Here is an 18476-nt window from a genome sequence, read left to right on the forward strand (position 1 = left end):
GAGGACATTGTAATAAATATATCTTTCCACTGACAGTTTAGAAGGAAATGTTAGGTTTATTATTTAGATCAACGTTCTGATAGGTAAATACAATTGCAACATGACTGGTAACACCAGCAGACCTGCTGGCTTTTTGAGCCAATACTTTTCCACTAGTTTATCTCATAGGCAGTAAAGAAAGTGACATTAAACACTGAAACATATTAGAGCAGTCTTTAGTCAGTGAAATATCCAACTCAGATCTACTTCTGATGGGCTAATCCTGTAGTAGAAGAAATAGGTGCTCTGACAGGTAACTATTAAGGGAAATGATTATGTAGAGCAGTTGATTGTATTCTCAGGGTACTCCAACAACCTTCAGACTCATTTCAAAACTTCAACTTTCATCCAAACCTAATCCATTTTCCCTGGAAAGAATAGCCATGCGGTTTTATTCTTCACTCAAGCTGGGTATTTAAAATAAATAAATTTTATAACATAAAAGTCTTCAATTATTTCCTTTTTTCTTTTTGCATAAATGCATTTAGATAGCTAAGACTTGATTTTTATAAAAAGTAAATATTTGGCTCTAGCTTCACTGGTGTGCTAAGAATGATTGTCACTTTTCCTCCTCTAAAAAGGCTCGATTTGCATCCAAAGGTCAGTGCTTGCTCTCCTGCCGTCCTTCCTCCTGCTGCTTCTCCTGGGCCCTCTAACTGGGGGCCTAGGCCAAAAGGAGAAGTGCTTCCCTTATCTCTCTTTTTCAAAACACGTGCTTTAAATGACCGGTTTGAGATAGAAAACTAAACTAAGGTACAGCACTTATCTCTGAGCATTTCGACCCAAAGGTGACAAAGAAGAAATGCCTGGGCTACCAGAGCGATAGTAAACCCTGGAGTCTGTTGGGTTCATGGTTTGACTATATGTGCACGCTAAGGGTAGGCAGTCCACCAGAAGCCTGACTCCTAACTTGGCCTATCCACCTGGTTTTTTGTTGATAAAGGCAGAACTTTTTACAACTAGGCAGCCACAATATAGGCTGGGTTCAGTCTTGGGGGTAAAGATTTCTGAGATAGGCTGGGGTTTAGTTTGTTTGTTTTGGTTTTGTGTTTTAGTAATCACAAAACATTAGATGGGCATTCCTGCACCTCTCTCCACCCTTTCTTCCAAAAGATCTGTGTGAGACCATTTTAAATACATCTTCAACTATGTCCTTCCTGGCTTTAATCTCATGCCAGGGGAGACTAATTGATTCAGCACCTTTCAAATAAGCTCTTTGGGAAAGGTCTGCAGCAAGATCAGAGGCACTGACCTTTTTCTCAATGATTGCAGGCATGTTCATCTCTCCAGATGGGCTCGATAAAACGGGGTTAGTTCTGTTCTGTGGTCTTGCTAAACAGAATAATACCATTTTTAACGATTTTGAGGTAGGGAAGAGGTATAAAAGAGAATTTCCTACACATATCTGATCATTTGTAGGGTCCCATGGCTCTTGAACTAGATTTAGAAAATGTTTTTACAAGGCCACTTTTGTTCAGTGTGACTTACCAAAAAGCTAAAATGAATGACTTTCGGGAGACCAAGATATCAATATCAAAAAAAGCCCATAGAATTAGTGAAAAATGGTTCAGCCTCGTGGTAAGAAAGATATGGAGGGAGAGGATATGTTAACAGACAGACAGTCCGCTTAGATCCGGATTCTGGGGCCTGGAACGCAAGTCAACCCTGAATGTGCAGCCAAACCGATCTGTGCTTCTCTTCCTCTCTCACCAGATCACAATTTACTGGGTGGCAAGCTGGGAGAGATCAAGCTTTGTCTGGTATGTCTTTTAAAACGTGATTAACGCTGAGCTTGATGCTAGCAGCCCGCAAGGGGTACTATAGGCTTACAGCCTAATTCCTTTCCCCAAGCGGAGCGGTACCTTCTCATCGCCTTTTTGGGGAACTACACTAAAGATCTAGTGTGCACTGAACAGGTCTGTGGGAACCAGGAAGGCAGAGGAAGGAAGGGAGGCTCCCGGGAGCCCAGGCCCCGGCAAGGCCCTTACAGTTCCCAGACCCGCCAAACCGAAAGAGAGACCCTGGAGAGGGCTGAGCCCCTGTGGGCCTGGCTGGAGGCCTCGGGTAGGATGCTGAGGCAAGAGCCACAGCGGTCCGAGTCCAAGAACCACGTCCAGACTCAGCTTAAGGTTCCGAGGTGAAAGGCCTGGCCTAGAAGGGAGGGAGAGAGATCTGAAGAAGAGGGGGTGGGTGAAAGAAACGTGGACACTACAACTGCGTTTTCTGCTCCTGCAGCTGAGCGTGCCTGGACAAGTATGTAGGATTTCCCAATTGGGGGATCTAAGTACTCTCGAAAACTATGATCAGTTTTCTATTAGGTACCCTACCCCACAACAACAGATATCATTATTTCCTGGTTGAGTGTGGGTCGCATTAGGCCCAGGACAAGTGTGCCAATTGGGACCAGTATCAAAAGAGAGCCTTGAAGAAAGAAAGAAAGGGCTTCCCAGGAACTAAGCTGACCTCTCAGTGCCTCTAGGGAAGACATTTTTGCTGGAGGCAGGGCTATGAGCACAAGTGGGGCGCCCTGTGGGTGTGCAACCGCGGTCGGGGAGCACAGGCTTCCGAAGAGAAACTGAGCTCTAAGTGCCACTCAGGCCGGACGAGTTCCAGAGGGGGACAGCGCCCTCCTCGAAAAGCCTTGGTTTCTCCCCGCCCCCTCTTGTGACAGAAAGTTGGCAAGGATGCCCCGTAGGAGTGCGAGCCGCTCCCCTCCTCCGAAAAGCCGCGGGCTTCCGCTGCTCCGGGCATCACCACCAACAGCTTCCCACTCCCACCCCTGGGACTAGGACAGGGGACTTCACCCTCCTCCTTCCTTCCGGAGGAGCCCGCGGCTTCGCCTGAGGCCTCGCGGGCCCAACTTCTCCCCACCGCTAGGGTCACGCCGGGTCCCAGGGGCCTCTTTCAAGTTTGAAAGCTCTGTGGGGGCACGGAGAGCCCACAGTAAGGATGGGTGGGCGCCTCTGCTCCCGGGCAGGCTCAGCTGTCATCCCGTCTCGCCTTGGCCCTCACCTACAGGGCCTGACCCCGGGCCAGCCCAGCTAGGCAAGGCCTCCTCGCTTCCGAGACCCCCCAGCCCCCGGGTGCAGTCCCCAGCATCGGCTGCCCCCGCCCCCCGCGCGCCCTCTGACGCAAACGCACGCCCCTGCCCCGCACGGAGGAAAGCGCTCTTGTTGGTTTTAATTGAGCCTCTTCCTTTCAACACACCCCCTCTGTCCCCACCCCTGGGAGGCGACCCCCTCCCCGCCCCCAGCCGGCTGGCAGCGGCGCAGGGAGTCTGGCTCGGCTGCTAGGCTGCGAATCCCGGTGCTCTCTCGCCGCCGCCGCAGGTTGTCTGCTCGGGAGAGCGGCTCGATGTCCCTTTTAATCCGCTGACACTATCGCCCACATCAGACAGGCAGCCATCGATCGCGTTACATTAGGGGATGGCGTTACAAACGGCGTCCGCAGGTGGGCGGCTGCAGCCAAGCTCGCCAGGTTCAGGCCGTAACCAGGCAAGGCGCGGGCACAAGGGCCAGCCGGGCCGGACTCTGCAGCCGGCTCCACCGCGGGTCGCGCTCGGCACCAGCAGGAACAGCCGGGCCGGTGTTAAACGTGCGGGTCCCCGTCCTCCGCCCGGGCATCCGTTTCCCGCCTAGGAGAGAGAGGGAATAGCGGGTGGGGGTGGGAGCAGCCTGTTTTGAATGTGGATTGCTGCTCGCCTGGCACGATCCTCCCCTCCAAGGAGGCGCGGCGGCCGCGATCCTCGCCTTAGCGCTACGGCGAGACAGAGGCCGAGCGAGGGCAACTCCCGAGCAGGCCCCGAAGAAAGTTCTCCTCGTCCCGCCCTGGCTGCCTAGACTCTGCTCTCGGCCTGCGGAGGCCGTGCGAGCCAAGACTGCCTCCCGGCCCTGCCCGTTACCAACCCCAAGTTCAAGAGAAACGACAACCATTATGTTACTTGCCTGGTGAGGCAGGATTTGGCCGAGTCTCGTTTCTGGTGCCCACGACGCACGGTCCAGGGTCCGAGGGCGGCTGGGCCGGCGGACTGGGCATCCAGTGTGCCTGCGGTGCCCTGGCGCTCGCTGTCGCTGGTCTCCCACTCCCTTCGTCTCTCTCCGCGTTCTCCTTCCCTCGCCCTATCTCCCTCTCTCCGCCTGCTGCCTCTGCCCTCGACTCCCTGCCTCTGACTGTATGGGGAGTACGATTTAGAATCTGTACATAGAAAGGTTTTCTTTTCTTTCTTTTCTTTTGGTCTATTTTAATCGTGTTCGTTTCACCTTTTAACTGACCAGAAGACGGGAGCGCGTTTGCGCGTTTATTTGGGCATAGGGACGAGGGCAAGGAGCCCCTGCTACCCCCAGTCGCCTCCTCGCCATCAGCTGCGTACAATGGGCCACCGCTCGCGGAGTGCATTGACAGTTCTCCATTATTCGAGCTGGAGGGGCTGTGGGGCAGGCACGGGAAAACCTTTTATTCTGCTCTTTAAAATCATCGCTCGTCACTAAGCGGTCGCCGACTCCCGACTTGTAGGCTGGAGAGACCAGGAAGCGCAAAACGTCCCCCAAACACGCAGTGCTTCCCAAACCCCTCCCTGGTGAGACTTAAAGTGAGAACGAGTATTAAAAAACAAACCCTACCTCTGTCAATACAGCGTGGCCATTTACTTCCACCTTTACCTGAGGGCGTGTTGGCGCTAGGAATGCTCGAGCTGAGACAAACTTTTACGCCCTCGCGAGTCGAGGGGCGGGCGGGCGAGCGCGGCTCCCACCCCCGGCGGCGGCAGCGGCGGCTTTGTCACTCCGCGCGGCTCCGCGCCCGCCTGAGCCTGCCTAGGGGAGCGATCTCAAAACGAGGGGGGTGCGAGTATGCGATTGGAGAATATGTAACTAATAGAAGTATCATTTTCCCCCAGTACGATCTTTCAAGGAAAAAAAAATCCATTGAAAGAATTTTCAAAGTGCTGTCTTCGTTTGGAGAAAAGGCACAGGCTGCCTGCGGGGAGGGGAGGAGGGACTCGGCTGTGTGCCGCCCGGGAGCGGCTCCCGTCCGCTAGGTGGCAGCCGGAGCCAGCGATTCCTGCAAGCCCCGCCGCGGGACCCGCTCCTCCCGCCTGCCCCTCCTCCCGCGACCAATCACCTTCAGGATTCAGGAATCGGGGTCTCGGTCTCTCTCTCTCTCTCTCTCTCTCTCTCTCTCTCTCTCTCTCTCTCTCTCTCTCTCTCTCTCTCTCCCCCTCTCCCTCTCCCTCTCCCTCTCCTCTCTCCCTCTCCCTCTCCCTCTCCCTCTCCCTCTCCCTCTCCCTCTCCCTCTCGTCTCTCTCTCTCTCTCTCTCCTCTCTCTCTCTCTCTCCTCTCTCTCTCTCTCCTCTCTCCTCTCTCTCTCGGTCTCTCTCTCTCTCTCTGGGTCTCTCTCTCTCTCTCTCTCTCTGGGTCTCTCTCTCTCTCCTCTCTCTCTGGGTCTCTCTCTCTCTCCTCTCTCTCTCTCTCCCCTCTCCTCTCTTCTCTCTCTCTCTCTCTCAATATCTCGCGCGCTCTCCTCTCTCCTCTCTTTCCTTTCCTCTCCTCTCTCTCTGTCTCTCTCTCTCCTCCTCCCCCTTTTCTCTCTCCCTCTCCGCCTCCCCCCCTCTCCATCTTCTCGTTTGTTTGCTCTTTTCCCGGGACTGACTTGGCCACACTAATCTCCCCCCACCCTGCAACAATATGGGGACTTACTACTGTTTTATTAATAATGATTGAAGCATTGTTGGAGTTTGGAACAGCCAGGTGATAAAAAAAAAAAAAAAGAAGAAGGAAAAATTGGATTGATTGGAAAGTTTATTTTTAAAATCATCTTTGGGATAAATAGGAACCCTTGATTCCGATCGAATTTGTGGCAATAGCTGCAAATTCCAGGAGTGTGCTTTGTCATCATTAAACCTTTTAAACCAAGGTATACTTTGGATTAAAAAATAGGGAGATCCTACCCTGTTTCTACTTGTTTCTAAAAAGGATATAAAATGAGCAGAATCCAGACTTGGATTGTGCTTATATGTGAGAGAAGAAAACAATCCAAATCCAGTATATTTCACAAATCATTAAAATGGTGGGGGTTTCATTCCCATTAAAAATTTTTCCAAACATTTTCAATGACACTCTCTTCACGCTCATAAAATCTAATTTTAAAAACTTTTCAGAAGAAATCAAAATAATTTCCCTCTAATTCTCCTTTTGCCCATCGCTAGGCGTTCTCCCCCTCGTCATCCCTTCCCCCTCTGGGGTGTGAGCGTAAGTGTGTGTGTGTGTATGTGTGTGTGTGTGTGACCATAGACGACCCATACTAATCAGGTCTCAGAGTAAATAGCAGCGCAGGGCGATCTCAATGTAAATTGCGCTTGTCAGAAACACACCCCCCTCCCTCACTTTCTCTCCTCCTCCCCACACCATCCCAGTCTGTAGGTAGCTAAGCGGGGGGGGGAGAAAGAAAGCAAAAGAGGAGGGGGGAGGGGCTCTCCAACCAATGGCGTGCAGGAGGCTTGGCTAACCTTAGCCTCCCATTTTCTCTCCCCCCGATTCAGGGCTCTGACCAGTCAGTCGCCTTTGATTATCAGTTGCCAGCAGCCCTTCTCTTGGCTCCTTGACACGAGCTCCATATAAGGCAGCGATCTCCATAGAAACGTGTCAGTTTCAATAGTAGTGTCAAAGTTCACTATATACAGACATTCGCGCAGATCCCCCTTTCGGAAACATTGCTCTGCGAGTCCTCCCGTTTAAACGCATTCAATTTTTGGGTCTCTCTCTCTCTCTCTCTCTCTCTTCTTCTCTTCTCTCTCTCTCTCTCTCTCCTCTCTCTCTCTCCTCTTTCTCCCCCCTCTCTCCCTCCTCTCCTCTCTCTCTCCTCTCTTCTCTGAACCTCTCTTCTCTTTCTCTTTTCTTACATATTCTACTAGTTGTTTTCCCCTTCTTCTTCTCCTTTCTCTCCTTTTTCTCCCTCCTCCTTGTCTCTTTTACTCCATTCCTGCAGAAGAGAGAGGGCTAAACTTAAAGAAAAAAAAAAGGAGGAGGAGGAGGAGGAGGCACCCCCTTCGTATTCTTCTTATCGTTATTTTATACATATATGATTTTTTTTGGAGGGAGGGTGTTGGTTGCCGGCTGAAGAGCACTTATTTAAAATACTAAAAAAAGAACATTTTTGGGCGATCTCCAGGGTTTTTTTAACTAGCTCTGTGTGTTATAGCAGAAGAAGCAGAAGAAGGAGCAAGAAAGAGGAAAAGAAGAGGATTATTTATTCGACCTACTTTGGATGTCTCTCTCGCTTTTCCTTTTTCCTTTTTTTGGCAATTATTTTCTTCTGATTTTTATTTTTTCTATTTCGCTGTGATTTCGTCGCCGGCGTGAATTATCCCGTATTTTTCTCCCCCTTCCGTCACCTCCCGAAAGAAGAAGGCAGCGAGAGCCCGGCGCCACCGGCACAACAAAAAGAGCAAAGTGTGTGATCTTCCTCGCCGGCTGCCTCCCGCTCTCCAGCGCTGCCTTCCTGAATGGCTGGCTGCGTCCGGCCCTGGACCTGGCCCCCCGACACCCGCGCGCCCTGATCGCCGGCGGCAGCCTCGCCCAGCGCCCTGCTCGGCTCACCGCGCTCCCCGCACTCCCGAGCCCGGCGAGGGCTCCCGCCGGGACAGCGGCGGCGCCGCGGGCGGCCCCGGCCTCCGCTCGCGCTCCGGCTGCGGCCCCGACTCCTGCTCGGACTCCGGCCCGGGTCCCGGCTCCTCCAGCGGCGCTCGCCGCAGCAGCTCCGGCGGCAGCTCCAGCGGCGCCTGCAGCCGCGACCTCCTCCTCCTCCGCCGCCGCCGCCGCCTCCGCCCTCGCCGGCTTCCTCTATGTCGGCTCAGCCCGCGCGCTGCGCGTAGCCCGAGCGGCCGGCGGGCGGGCGCCCGGCGCGGGTGAGCGACTGTGTGTGCGAGTGTGTGTGTGCGCGGGGGTGCGGGCGAGGCGGAGGGCGAGTGTGTGCGCGCGCCGTGGCCCATGCCCGCCGCCCCCGGCGCTGCGCCCCGCGCCGCTCCCGGCTGCCGCCTGTGCCATTTCTGATTTTGCAACTTGGGGAAGAAGAAAAAAGCGAGAGAAGGGAGCTTGCTCGCCGGGGGGTGGGGAGGGGGGAAGGAGAGCGCGGCCCCCCCAGGAACGGAGCGCGGGGGGAGCGGGCGAGGGGAGCAGGGGTGTTGGGGGGGGAGCCTGAGAGCCTGGGGGGGCTGCAAAAAGAGAGAAAGAAAACAGCAGGAACCACAACAAAACGCCAGCAGGGCGGGCGGGCGCGCAGCAGCAGCGGGGCGGCCGAGGCAGTAGCGGCGGCAGCGGCGGCGGCGGCGGAGGCAGCGGCCGGTGTCCGGCTCGGGCTCGGCTCCTGCGACCCCGGGGCGCCCGGCGGGCCCCCCGCCCCCTCCCCCTCCCCCCTTCCCCTTCCCCTTCCCCTCCCAGCGCGCCCGCGCGCCCCGCGGCCCTCGGCGAGCAGCTCGGCTCCCCCCAGCGCTCCCCGGGCCCAAAGATATGGCAATGGTAGTTAGCAGCTGGCGAGATCCGCAGGACGACGTGGCCGGGGGCAACCCCGGCGGCCCCAACCCCGCAGCGCAGGCGGCCCGCGGCGGCGGCGGCGGCGCCGGCGAGCAGCAGCAGCAGGCGGGCTCGGGCGCGCCGCACACGCCGCAGACCCCGGGCCAGCCCGGAGCGCCCGCCACCCCCGGCACGGCGGGGGACAAGGGCCAGGGCCCGCCCGGTTCGGGCCAGAGCCAGCAGCACATCGAGTGCGTGGTGTGCGGGGACAAGTCGAGCGGCAAGCACTACGGCCAATTCACCTGCGAGGGCTGCAAAAGTTTCTTCAAGAGGAGCGTCCGCAGGAACTTAACTTACACATGCCGTGCCAACAGGAACTGTCCCATCGACCAGCACCACCGCAACCAGTGCCAATACTGCCGCCTCAAGAAGTGCCTCAAAGTGGGCATGAGGCGGGAAGGTGAATATTTCTTCTCTGCTTCTCTCCCCGCGCTTCGCCCGCCTCCCTGGCTCTTTCTTTCTTTCTCGCCCGGGTGGTTGCTGTGTGGGGCTGGGGCTCCTGTGGTCCCGGCCCGTCCCAGCTTTCCTTCTCCCGGCTGCCTTCCTCCCCCGGCGTCTCCCCCCGCCCTCCCCAGCTCGCTGCCGCTGCCTCCCCCTCCCGGCCTGCGCTCATCTCCCCGGCTCCCCCACCCCGCCCGCTGCCTGCTCAGGATTGTGTCCCTGAGATCGTGAGCTGTGGCTTAAAATCCCCTTCTTCCCTCTGTCTTGGATGTGCTCGGTGTGTGTCTCTTTCCCGCGTGTGCGTGAGGCTGCTTGGGGCTGTGCTGGCATGAACTTGGGGAGGGGTGCTTATTTCCCCCAGAAAACTCTGTTTCTGTGGTTTTTTTTCATTCCACTTTTCCCTCCACCTCTTCATACCCTTTATTTAAAATGGGGGAGGGCTGGGGGCTGGAGTACCCTGAACCATAGATTCATTGCTGCCATCATCCTTTTGGAAGCTTAGCTCGGAAAAAGAGGAGTGAGATTTATTGCACTTGTAGGTCTAATTAGGGGGGAAGGGGGGCTTCTGGCCCGTTCACTGGTTCCCTCTCTTCTTCACGGAGCTGGGGCCGCCTCCTCCAGAGCTGTGGCCTTGTTTTCACCCCTCTACTTTGAAAGGAAAGTTTGTGACTGAACCGTGCTTTCATAGTTGTGTCATTTTTTTTAAAGCATGATACTCGTTTTATTTCTTCATCAAACTCCACCCTCTGCTTAAATACTGCATACAAATTACAATTTACAACGGCATTTACCGATCCTTCTGATTTGGCCGTAATGCATAGACTGCAGCTAGCATGAGCTTCCACATCATTTAATCCCTGTGTTGTATGGGTTTGTTTTTTTTAAAAAAAAACACAACTTTTGATGTTGTATTTGGATATGCTTCATGTTCATGTGGCAAGAGATGCAGTACTTTTCTTATAAATATATTTAGCCGTTTACAGTTAAAGTTTATCTCTTGACAATCATTAAAGATGTCTTATAGTCAAATTAGCGAACCAGTCAATTTTGCAGAATGCAGATTACTCCTTCTTGTAATTGACTTTAAAATTATATTTTATATGCCACAAGAAAAGAAATTGAATTCCTTCAGATCTCAAGGAGCAGACAAATATGACTACTTCATTTCTAGCTCCAGGGAGATTTTGTAGGCATCTGAAAAAAAAAAAACTTTGAATTGTACTCTCACTTAATTGAAAAATAACTGCCAAGTTCAAAACTATAATTAGAAAAAAGTATTCTAGGCATTATGTTTCAAGAGCTTCAATTGCACTGGAACTTGCATTAAAATTAGAATCAAAGCAAACTTAAGAAAATAGAACAAAACCTGAAATAAGATAGCTACATGTACATGAACATATCTATATTAATTTGTTGGGGGAAGAGTTCAGTAGCCCTAACTTTTCCTAAAGTTGTCTTTGTTTATATGGCAATTTAAAACGCTGGCACTGTTGAAGTAAAACATACACATTTAAAAAAAAAAAAAAAAAAACTTTGGTCAGCTTTAAGAACTCAAAGCATGCTTACGTTTTGCATTCAGATGGTTAATGAATCCAGTGTTTTTGCAGTTGAAAGCTCGTGCATTCACTGGGCAAAAGCTGGCTGCAGGTTGCAGTGGCACCGCGCAGGACAGACATTAATTATATTTCCTACTTTTTTCAATAATGTTTGGCTACTGTAAGTTCAACTTTTTTTCTTGAAAATTTTCAATTTTCTGTTGCTTTTAATAGTGAGAACTTTGTATGGGGCGACGGGGAGGAGGGGAGAAGGGAGGGGTGCAGGATACTTGTTCTCTACTCAAAAGTTGTAAGTGGTTAGTAGGATATGTAACTTGTGTCTATTTTAAGAATTATTCTATAGCATTTTAAGAGAATGTGGAAACATTTTATCAGCAAAACGCTGCTTGCTTGCAAATGAGGAGGCCGCTAGGCATTTGCCTAGAACCACAACCTTTCTCCGGTTTCGCCTTTTTTTAACCCTGATTTTTTTTTTCCATTCTGGAGGGGTGAGTGGGGTTTCATTTATCTGTGTGTTCCCCCGTGGTGGCTTAGGGGTTGGATGACACTTTCTTGACCTTGCCAGGGTTGGGGCCCTGGAGTCAGGCCTAGCTCCGGCGGGGCTGACGTGGCCAGGGGCTCAGGCAGTGGCTGGACACACTGAGCTGTGGAGCTGGAGGGCCTCACCCCAGATCTCCTAGCGGTGTGGACTGTGAGAGCGAGCCGGAGAAGATGCGCGGGGCGCGTGTGGCTGCGGGAAGAGCTTCTGCATTGTGTTGGGTACGCTGCGGCGCGGCAATGTTCGCAAGCTCCCTGGATGCACATTGCCTCTTTTCTCTCTTTCTTTTTGTCAGCGGTTCAGCGAGGAAGAATGCCTCCAACCCAGCCCAATCCAGGCCAGTACGCACTCACCAACGGGGACCCCCTCAACGGCCACTGCTACCTGTCCGGCTACATCTCGCTGCTGCTGCGCGCCGAGCCCTACCCCACGTCGCGCTACGGCAGCCAGTGCATGCAGCCCAACAACATTATGGGCATCGAGAACATCTGCGAGCTGGCCGCGCGCCTGCTCTTCAGCGCCGTCGAGTGGGCCCGCAACATCCCCTTCTTCCCGGATCTGCAGATCACCGACCAGGTGTCCCTGCTACGCCTCACCTGGAGCGAGCTGTTCGTGCTCAACGCGGCCCAGTGCTCTATGCCGCTGCACGTGGCGCCGTTGCTGGCCGCCGCCGGCCTGCATGCCTCGCCCATGTCTGCCGACCGCGTCGTGGCCTTCATGGACCACATCCGCATCTTCCAGGAGCAGGTGGAGAAGCTCAAGGCGCTACACGTCGACTCAGCCGAGTACAGCTGCCTCAAAGCCATCGTGCTGTTCACGTCAGGTGAGGCTGCGGTCGCGGGGAGGGCAGGCCGCGCCGGCAGCGAGCGCAGGCCCCGCGCCGCCCGGGCCTGGCCTTCGGAGCCTCCCGCGCGGCCGGTGCGGGGCGGGCCGGGCCCTCGCTGGACACTGAGCCTGGCCCGGGTCTGTGACCCCCGCGCGGTGACCGGCTGGCCGCGCCGCTGCCATCTTGGGAGCGCGGCGGTGCGGGAACCGAGGCGGCGCGGGTGCGGCCGGCGGGCGGCCGGGCCTAGTCGCCCGGACCCCTACGTGGGGCCGCGGCTGCCGAGGGTGTGTGTCTGAGGCGGGGGGGCGGTGCTGTGGATCCGTCTGGCTGCGCGCGCGCGCGCGCGTGTGTGTGTGTGTGTGTGTCTCTGTGTGTGTGTCTGTGTGTGGTGCGTGTTATGTGTGAGCCAGAGCTCAGCGTTTCTGGGGGAGGCGAGGGAAGGAAGAGAACGTGGGAATGTGGCTTCTTACCCTGTGTGGCACTCTCCTTGAATGAATTTCCCGACACAGAGAGACACAGAGAGAGGTGGAAAGAGAAGAATACGCACAAATAAATCATAATAATCCCGCTTTATCGCTGCCTGATTTTCCCTTATCGGAAACCATTCATGTTTGCAGTTGGTGAGGTTATTGAGGGTCGTAAAAAACGGATTCGATCTAAACAAGAAAGATAAAAAACAAAAGCAATGCTGTAGAACCCGCAAGTATGGGAGGATTCCCCGCCTGAAGATGAATTCCAAAGCTATGCAAAACACATGAACACTGGAAATTTAAGAGTGCCTTAAAAAATATCAAATTATGTGTAGGCAGTGGTAACATGCATGTTAACAATTTCTCTTATGATAGATGGTTCAAATTAACTTCCAGAAAAGTGCATTAACGTTTCCTTTGAAGGGCTCTGGTCTGAGCCTCCGAGAACAATCCCCGCTTTTTATTATTGTAACCTGTAAGAGGGAAACATATAAACACCCAGGACAGCAGGTAATGGGGAGAAATAGAGACAAAGCCAGAGAGGAGGCTGGTGGCAAGTAGTGCTGCTTAGACTGGGTCTTGGGCCCTGCCCACTGTGAGTAGGGTTAGCTGCAGTTTTACCACCATTATTGGCAGTATTGTTTTTAATTCCTCCATTCGGAGAACAAATAAACCATCCTAATAAATCTATCCTAGAACCAGGCTTTCCAATGGCCAAATTAAAACCATTCTTGAACAGGGATAGCAAAATCCCTTTCATAAGGCCTTGTTGAACAGTAAGCAATGGTATAATCTATCAATATTTCTTGGCTTTCATGTGTGAAGAATTGTATTTACATTGTATTAAAATGACTCCTAAATTTGCACAATATTGTAATGTAGCAAATGTAGTATTAATATCGATCTGAACAGCAGATAATTTATTTAGACAAGAGCATCTCATTTGTATGCAGGGTGGCCAGAGCAATGGACTTGGACTGCCCCCCTTTTACTTTCAGTGCAAATGCAGGTCTGCTAGTGAGAGAGGGAGTTATTCTTTCCAAGAGGATAAAGTGCAAACCTTAAAACAAATGGAAGATTTATGGAATAGCCTCCTCCGTATTTGAATGCATTTTATCTTAATAAGTCTTCTTGATGGAAACGTGTTTTTCAAAAGTGACAAAGAGCCTGGGAAGCAGCAACCAGGCTGCCTCAGCTCTGGCAGGCCTGGGGCCTGGCTGGCTCTCTACTACCAGGCTCTTTAGCCAAATTCATCAGGAAGCAAGCCAGTGTCAGGGAAGCTGGGGTTTGAAAATCTCATCCAGCGAGGTGTCTTGAAGCAGAAATGTGACTTGGAACTGGACAGACGTTTTCTCAGGAAAGGTCTCTCCTCTCTTTTCCTTACACCCCCTAAGGTTCTTTGAACCCCCTTGACTTTGCTAATCTCATGCCCTTTCCCAGAGAGAGGTGAGGACTGTGCAGGCTGCAGGGAAACACTGTGGAATTATTCATGCTTTCCTTTTAACTTTCCATACTAAAACATTCCTGTGAAAAGTGTTCATTTAAAAAGTTTTCCAAGGAAGTTTCTTGAATCAAGTCTTCAAGGTGCAAAGAGTGCCTAGAAATGAACAATAACATTATTTTGTTGGAAAATTGCAAGCAGAATATCTGAAAATGGAAATAGAGCTGTCAGTAGTAATTCACCTCCCCCCTCCCATGCAACACATTTCCACTTTTGACTAAACTTGTTTTGATTGCTAGCCAGAAGGGAATTCATGGGAAGCCTTCTCAAAGTCATCCAACTTTTAAGCAAACTTTGAATGATGGAAAAGACAGTTTTAGACATATTGTCCAATGTGGTTTGCTTTGGCTAAGTATTTGAAGCTGGCACGGGGGTCCCCCGTGGTGGTTTTCACATTTGGCCTCCGGATGGTATGTTTAATCCTTAATATTCTGGACTGCATCCAAGGACTAGGTCATGACCTGAACTTACTTTTTAAAAAATTCATTAGTTCATACACCTAAATATTCCTTCAAATAAATGAGACTTTCTCTGAAAGGAGCCATCTAGTTAACATAAATACAATAAATCCATTTTCAGCACAATAATAACTTTGATTTCTAGTTATGGCAGCTGATTACATCTATATTTCCTGAACACTAAACTCTTCTGAATGCACAACATGAAATACATTCTCTGCACTACAAAGGCTAGGCCAGGAGGGCCTGAGCAGTAATGGTTATTTATTTACATAATTTCTTTTCCATACACTGTAGAAGAAATATTGAGAGTTCCCACATTGACACTACCGTATAAAAAGTGTGACATGGATTTTGCACATTCTGCCTCATTTTCTTATCTGGGGTATAACTCATGGAGCATAAATATATACTGTATTACACCCCCTGGTCACCTAGCTTTGTCACCACAACCCCCTAGTTGATCTGGGAGCTCATACCTTCTGTCCACAGTTGAGGGAATCCTGTTGCAAAGGGGTGAATGAATTTCCAGACTGGGAAGCCAGGCCAGAACCAGGGCTCCTGCCGGAGGGAAGCCACAGAGCTAGCTGGCTGGTACCTGGCAGGCAGGCCCAGCTACAGGCATTCACCTCCAAAGGAGGGAAGAAATGGAAGCAACCAGCACAGGACCCAGGCAGGCCTTTCCTGGGCTTCTTGTCTCTCTTGGAGCGGCCTGTTTGGGAGTTGGGAAGTGACCTTGTACTCCAGGGACCCTAATCATAAATGTCAGATAGATATTTTACTGAGCTGAGGGGATGCCAGATGGATCTTAAAAAAAAAAAATCTGCCGGGATACCAAGGGGCCCTTTTCACATTGCATTGTCTAGGGCTGAGAATGATCCATAAGCATGCAGGCAGATAATGCATGTAAAGCAAGCTCTATGTAATTATGGGTCTGGGTCTGAGTGAGGGTCATTCATCAGGGCCAGGTTAGCAAGCAGGGCCAAACTCACGGTCCCCTCTCTAAGCAGCAAAGCCCCACAGAGCTCTTGCTGCCCTGGCCCTAATAGCCATAAAGTCTCATTTGGCTTCCCATATCAGACCAGTGTGGATATACCCAACTGGCTGGCTGGAGTAATTAGACATCTGAGAGGAACCTAGTCTGTATCTGAGGTCAAAGGGGACTTGCCTCAGAAGTTCTTGAATTATCACTAGTTTTATTTGTATTTTTGCTCGAGGCCATAGCCTTGTAGATGAAGGTGTTAGAATGCTTTGTAAATCCCAGTTCTTGAAATATAAGGTCATAAAGCTCAGAAACTCAGCAGACACAGGTTTCACTTTGAATCATTTGTTGTGTCTTCTTAGGGTCACACTTGCCCATTCAAAATTATACAATGTCATTTTGGGGGCATTGCCATGCATCAATTTTTTCCCAGATCTATATATTAGCAAATTCTGCCTTTGATCTCTAGTCAACCTCCTGACTGGCTAAGGGCTCCTCTGTGATCTTACTGGTTTTTTTTTAATATTTATTATTAATATAAGAAACAAGTGGGTATTTGAACTAGGAGAGGATGCCTTTACTCCATTCCTCTTATTCCATCTTTCCCTCCCTATGCTTGCCTCTAGTTAGTTGATATAATATAATCTGCTGTCCTGAAATACTTTTAGAGGACCAAGAAGGGCCTTGGTTGACATGAACTAAGCACACAGATTTTGAGGTGCTGTCATTGTGCGGAGGTGCCTTTTTCTCCCTTGGTCCTGCCACCAAAAGCTTATCTCCCCCCAAGTCCCCCCTCAACTCCCCACCACCCACATCCCCCCCTACCCCCCCAGTTCTGAAGCAGCAGCAGCTGCTGCCTGTAGCCTAGCTTTGTGTCTGATTGCTGAAGATGTCGCCTTTCTGCAGCCTGGAGTAACTGAGTCATATTCTTCCTGATTATTATACAGCTTACAGAGATGTGACCAATTTTCAATTACTTGATCTAAGGTATAGATAGAAGTGTACACCCTCACCAAGGATTTGCTGCAGAGTCCTTTCTTGCATAGATAACGGATCTGAAATCCTATATTGCTAAAGCGTGGGCTTCATCTGATTCCAGGCACTGCCAGCCCATGATTCCTTACCCCCTCCCATGTGTTTGTTCACTACACAATCTAGGTTCTCCTGGAGGTTTCTGGTTGGGGTGGTTTGGGTTTGAGAGGGGACTCCAGGAATCCTTTAAGAACTGCCTTCAGGCTGCATATTTCCTAAGGGGTACTGAACACCCCCAGATCAGAGGCAAATGGGGCAAAAGTTAATGAGCACGGCCAGAAAGATGCTCCCTTGCAGGCCGAGGACAGGTTGTTAAGCGCAGCAAACATGGTTCCAGCATTGTACATTATTTAATCCAAAGGTGAAAGAGGAAAAACAAAGGGACTAGAGAGGTTTCTGCCTCTGCATGTGTGTGCCTCTCTCTCCAGCTCCCCTAGGCTTGGTGGGGGTTTGATTTATTTTTATTTGTATTGTATTGGGGGCGGGGGAGGAGGGAATGAAGAAGGGGATGGAGAGGTATAGGAGGGTGAATTTTTCTTTTCTCTTTTACTTCTTTTTTATTTTCCATTTTCTCCTTAAAAAAAATTGATGGCTTATTTTGCCTTTGCTATTTGTCAGCCTAACCGTGTGCTCCCTTTCCCTGTCTCTCCCTCCTGTGGCTGCTTGGGCAGACGCCTGTGGCCTGTCGGATGCGGCCCACATCGAGAGCCTGCAGGAGAAGTCGCAGTGCGCACTGGAGGAGTACGTGAGGAGCCAGTACCCCAACCAGCCCAGCCGTTTTGGCAAACTGCTGCTGCGACTGCCCTCGCTGCGCACCGTGTCCTCCTCCGTCATCGAGCAGCTCTTCTTCGTCCGTTTGGTAGGTAAAACCCCCATCGAAACTCTCATCCGCGATATGTTACTGTCTGGGAGCAGCTTCAACTGGCCTTACATGTCCATCCAGTGCTCCTAGACCTTGGGCGCTTCCCACCTGCCCCGTCCCCCTAGAGACTCAGAGGACCCACCTGGGCCAAGGACTCCAAAGCCGCGGGGACACCGGGAAGTGCAGCGGGCCAGGCAGGCTGGGTGGGAGGGAGGAGGGCCGAGACAGGAGCAGCCCACCCAGCAGAAATACAATCCGAGCTACAAAGCATGGGAAAAAGAGACTCTTTTAGGATCAGATCTGTGAGCACGTTGGCGAGGAAAAACAAAACAAACAAAAAAAAGAACCTTGTGTCTGTCTGGTGAAAAAAAGAAAAACAAATTGGAAGAGAGGACCATGAGAATTTTAATAAAACAGAAGGAAACTAATGGACCTTCCAGGATTTATTGTGGACGGATGTGGATATATTCTGTACAGGAACAACACATATGGAAGTGGACTGAAGCCTATGTAGAAACACACACACACTGAACATTGTTATTCATTTTGTAAAATACTAGTCTTTATTTTCATTTTTTGTAAAATTTAAACATCGTATGCGCATAAAGAAAAAGGAAACAAGAATTAGGGGAAAATAACATTTTCCAAATAATTATAAAAAATTGTCCTGTGTCTATGTATCTATATCTGTTTTGTATTTTTTTCTGGTTCCAAACCAGATTTCCTGTGATTCTATACTAATAATTTTTGATATAACCCTTTGCTTCTTATAATGAGTGCGATATATGTTGTCGAGGCTGTTCTTCAAGAATTAAAATTGAAGTGAAAATTTAAACAAAAATAAAAGAATTTAGCAAAACCCATGTGTCTGGTTGCTTGATAGATGTTATCCGTGGAAGAGAACTCCTTGGTTAATTTCCACCTCAACTATTATTAGAATTGAAGGTTTTGGTGTGTAAAAGGGGAGACTTTTAAAGTCTACTACAAAGTTGGTTAGATTCATTTCCAAAAACCAAGCTGCTACCTTGGTTTTGTAAATGCGGAGGGCCAGGCTCTACATGGGCTGGGGTCCGCGGGGAGGCAGGGCGCCTTGGTCGCTGACTTCAGCCGTTGAGACCTGGTGGGCTGCGGGCGGTCCCGTGCTCAGTTGGGCCAGGGAGTGGTGTAGGCAGGGTCGCGCGCCCGGTAAGTCTCCAGGCACCAAGCA

At 51.0% G+C, this 18476-nt stretch overlaps 1 protein-coding gene and 1 long non-coding RNA gene across 48 annotated transcripts in view, besides 3 other annotated features; one reads left to right on the forward strand and one right to left on the reverse strand.

Moving 5' to 3' along the window:
• The window catches only part of NR2F1-AS1 (NR2F1 regulatory antisense RNA 1), a 176234-nt gene extending 167128 nt beyond the window's left edge, over nt 1-9106 (reverse strand). For 23 of the 46 annotated variants that reach the window (NR_109823.2, NR_186186.1, NR_186189.1 and 20 more), the window contains exon 1: nt 4659-4736. This is a non-coding gene — a long non-coding RNA (NR2F1 regulatory antisense RNA 1). Of the gene's footprint in view, nt 1-1291; nt 3376-3983; nt 4737-7294; nt 7962-8845 lie in introns of those variants that run through there. The other 23 variants (NR_109822.2, NR_186199.1, NR_197196.1 and 20 more) reach the window with 7 other exon arrangements.
• Nucleotides 4912-5011: an enhancer, noted in NCBI's record as "active region_22788". NCBI's record gives its function as "activates an Ori minimal core promoter by ATAC-STARR-seq in GM12878 lymphoblastoid cells {active_cell/tissue: GM12878}" and the evidence as "EXISTENCE:reporter gene assay evidence [ECO:0000049][PMID:35858748]".
• Nucleotides 5132-5181: a silencer, noted in NCBI's record as "silent region_16176". NCBI's record gives its function as "represses an Ori minimal core promoter by ATAC-STARR-seq in GM12878 lymphoblastoid cells {active_cell/tissue: GM12878}" and the evidence as "EXISTENCE:reporter gene assay evidence [ECO:0000049][PMID:35858748]".
• Nucleotides 6739-18128, forward strand: NR2F1 (nuclear receptor subfamily 2 group F member 1). 2 transcript variants are annotated; one of them, NM_005654.6, is made up of 3 exons: nt 6739-9003; nt 11434-11961; nt 17079-18128. In NM_005654.6, the coding sequence occupies exons 1-3, from the start codon at nt 8541-8543 to the stop codon at nt 17357-17359; spliced, it is 1272 nt and encodes a 423-aa protein (NP_005645.1). In that variant the 5' UTR covers nt 6739-8540; the 3' UTR covers nt 17360-18128. The 2 variants fall into 2 exon arrangements, with proteins under 2 accessions (NP_005645.1, NP_001397683.1); NM_001410754.1 differs by lacking the exon at nt 6739-9003 and adding an exon at nt 10616-10760.
• Nucleotides 7789-7868: a silencer, noted in NCBI's record as "silent region_16177". NCBI's record gives its function as "represses an Ori minimal core promoter by ATAC-STARR-seq in GM12878 lymphoblastoid cells {active_cell/tissue: GM12878}" and the evidence as "EXISTENCE:reporter gene assay evidence [ECO:0000049][PMID:35858748]".

This window comes from Homo sapiens, chromosome 5 (assembly GCF_000001405.40).
Source record: "Homo sapiens chromosome 5, GRCh38.p14 Primary Assembly".
In the NCBI taxonomy this organism is placed as follows: Eukaryota; Metazoa; Chordata; class Mammalia; order Primates; family Hominidae; genus Homo; species Homo sapiens.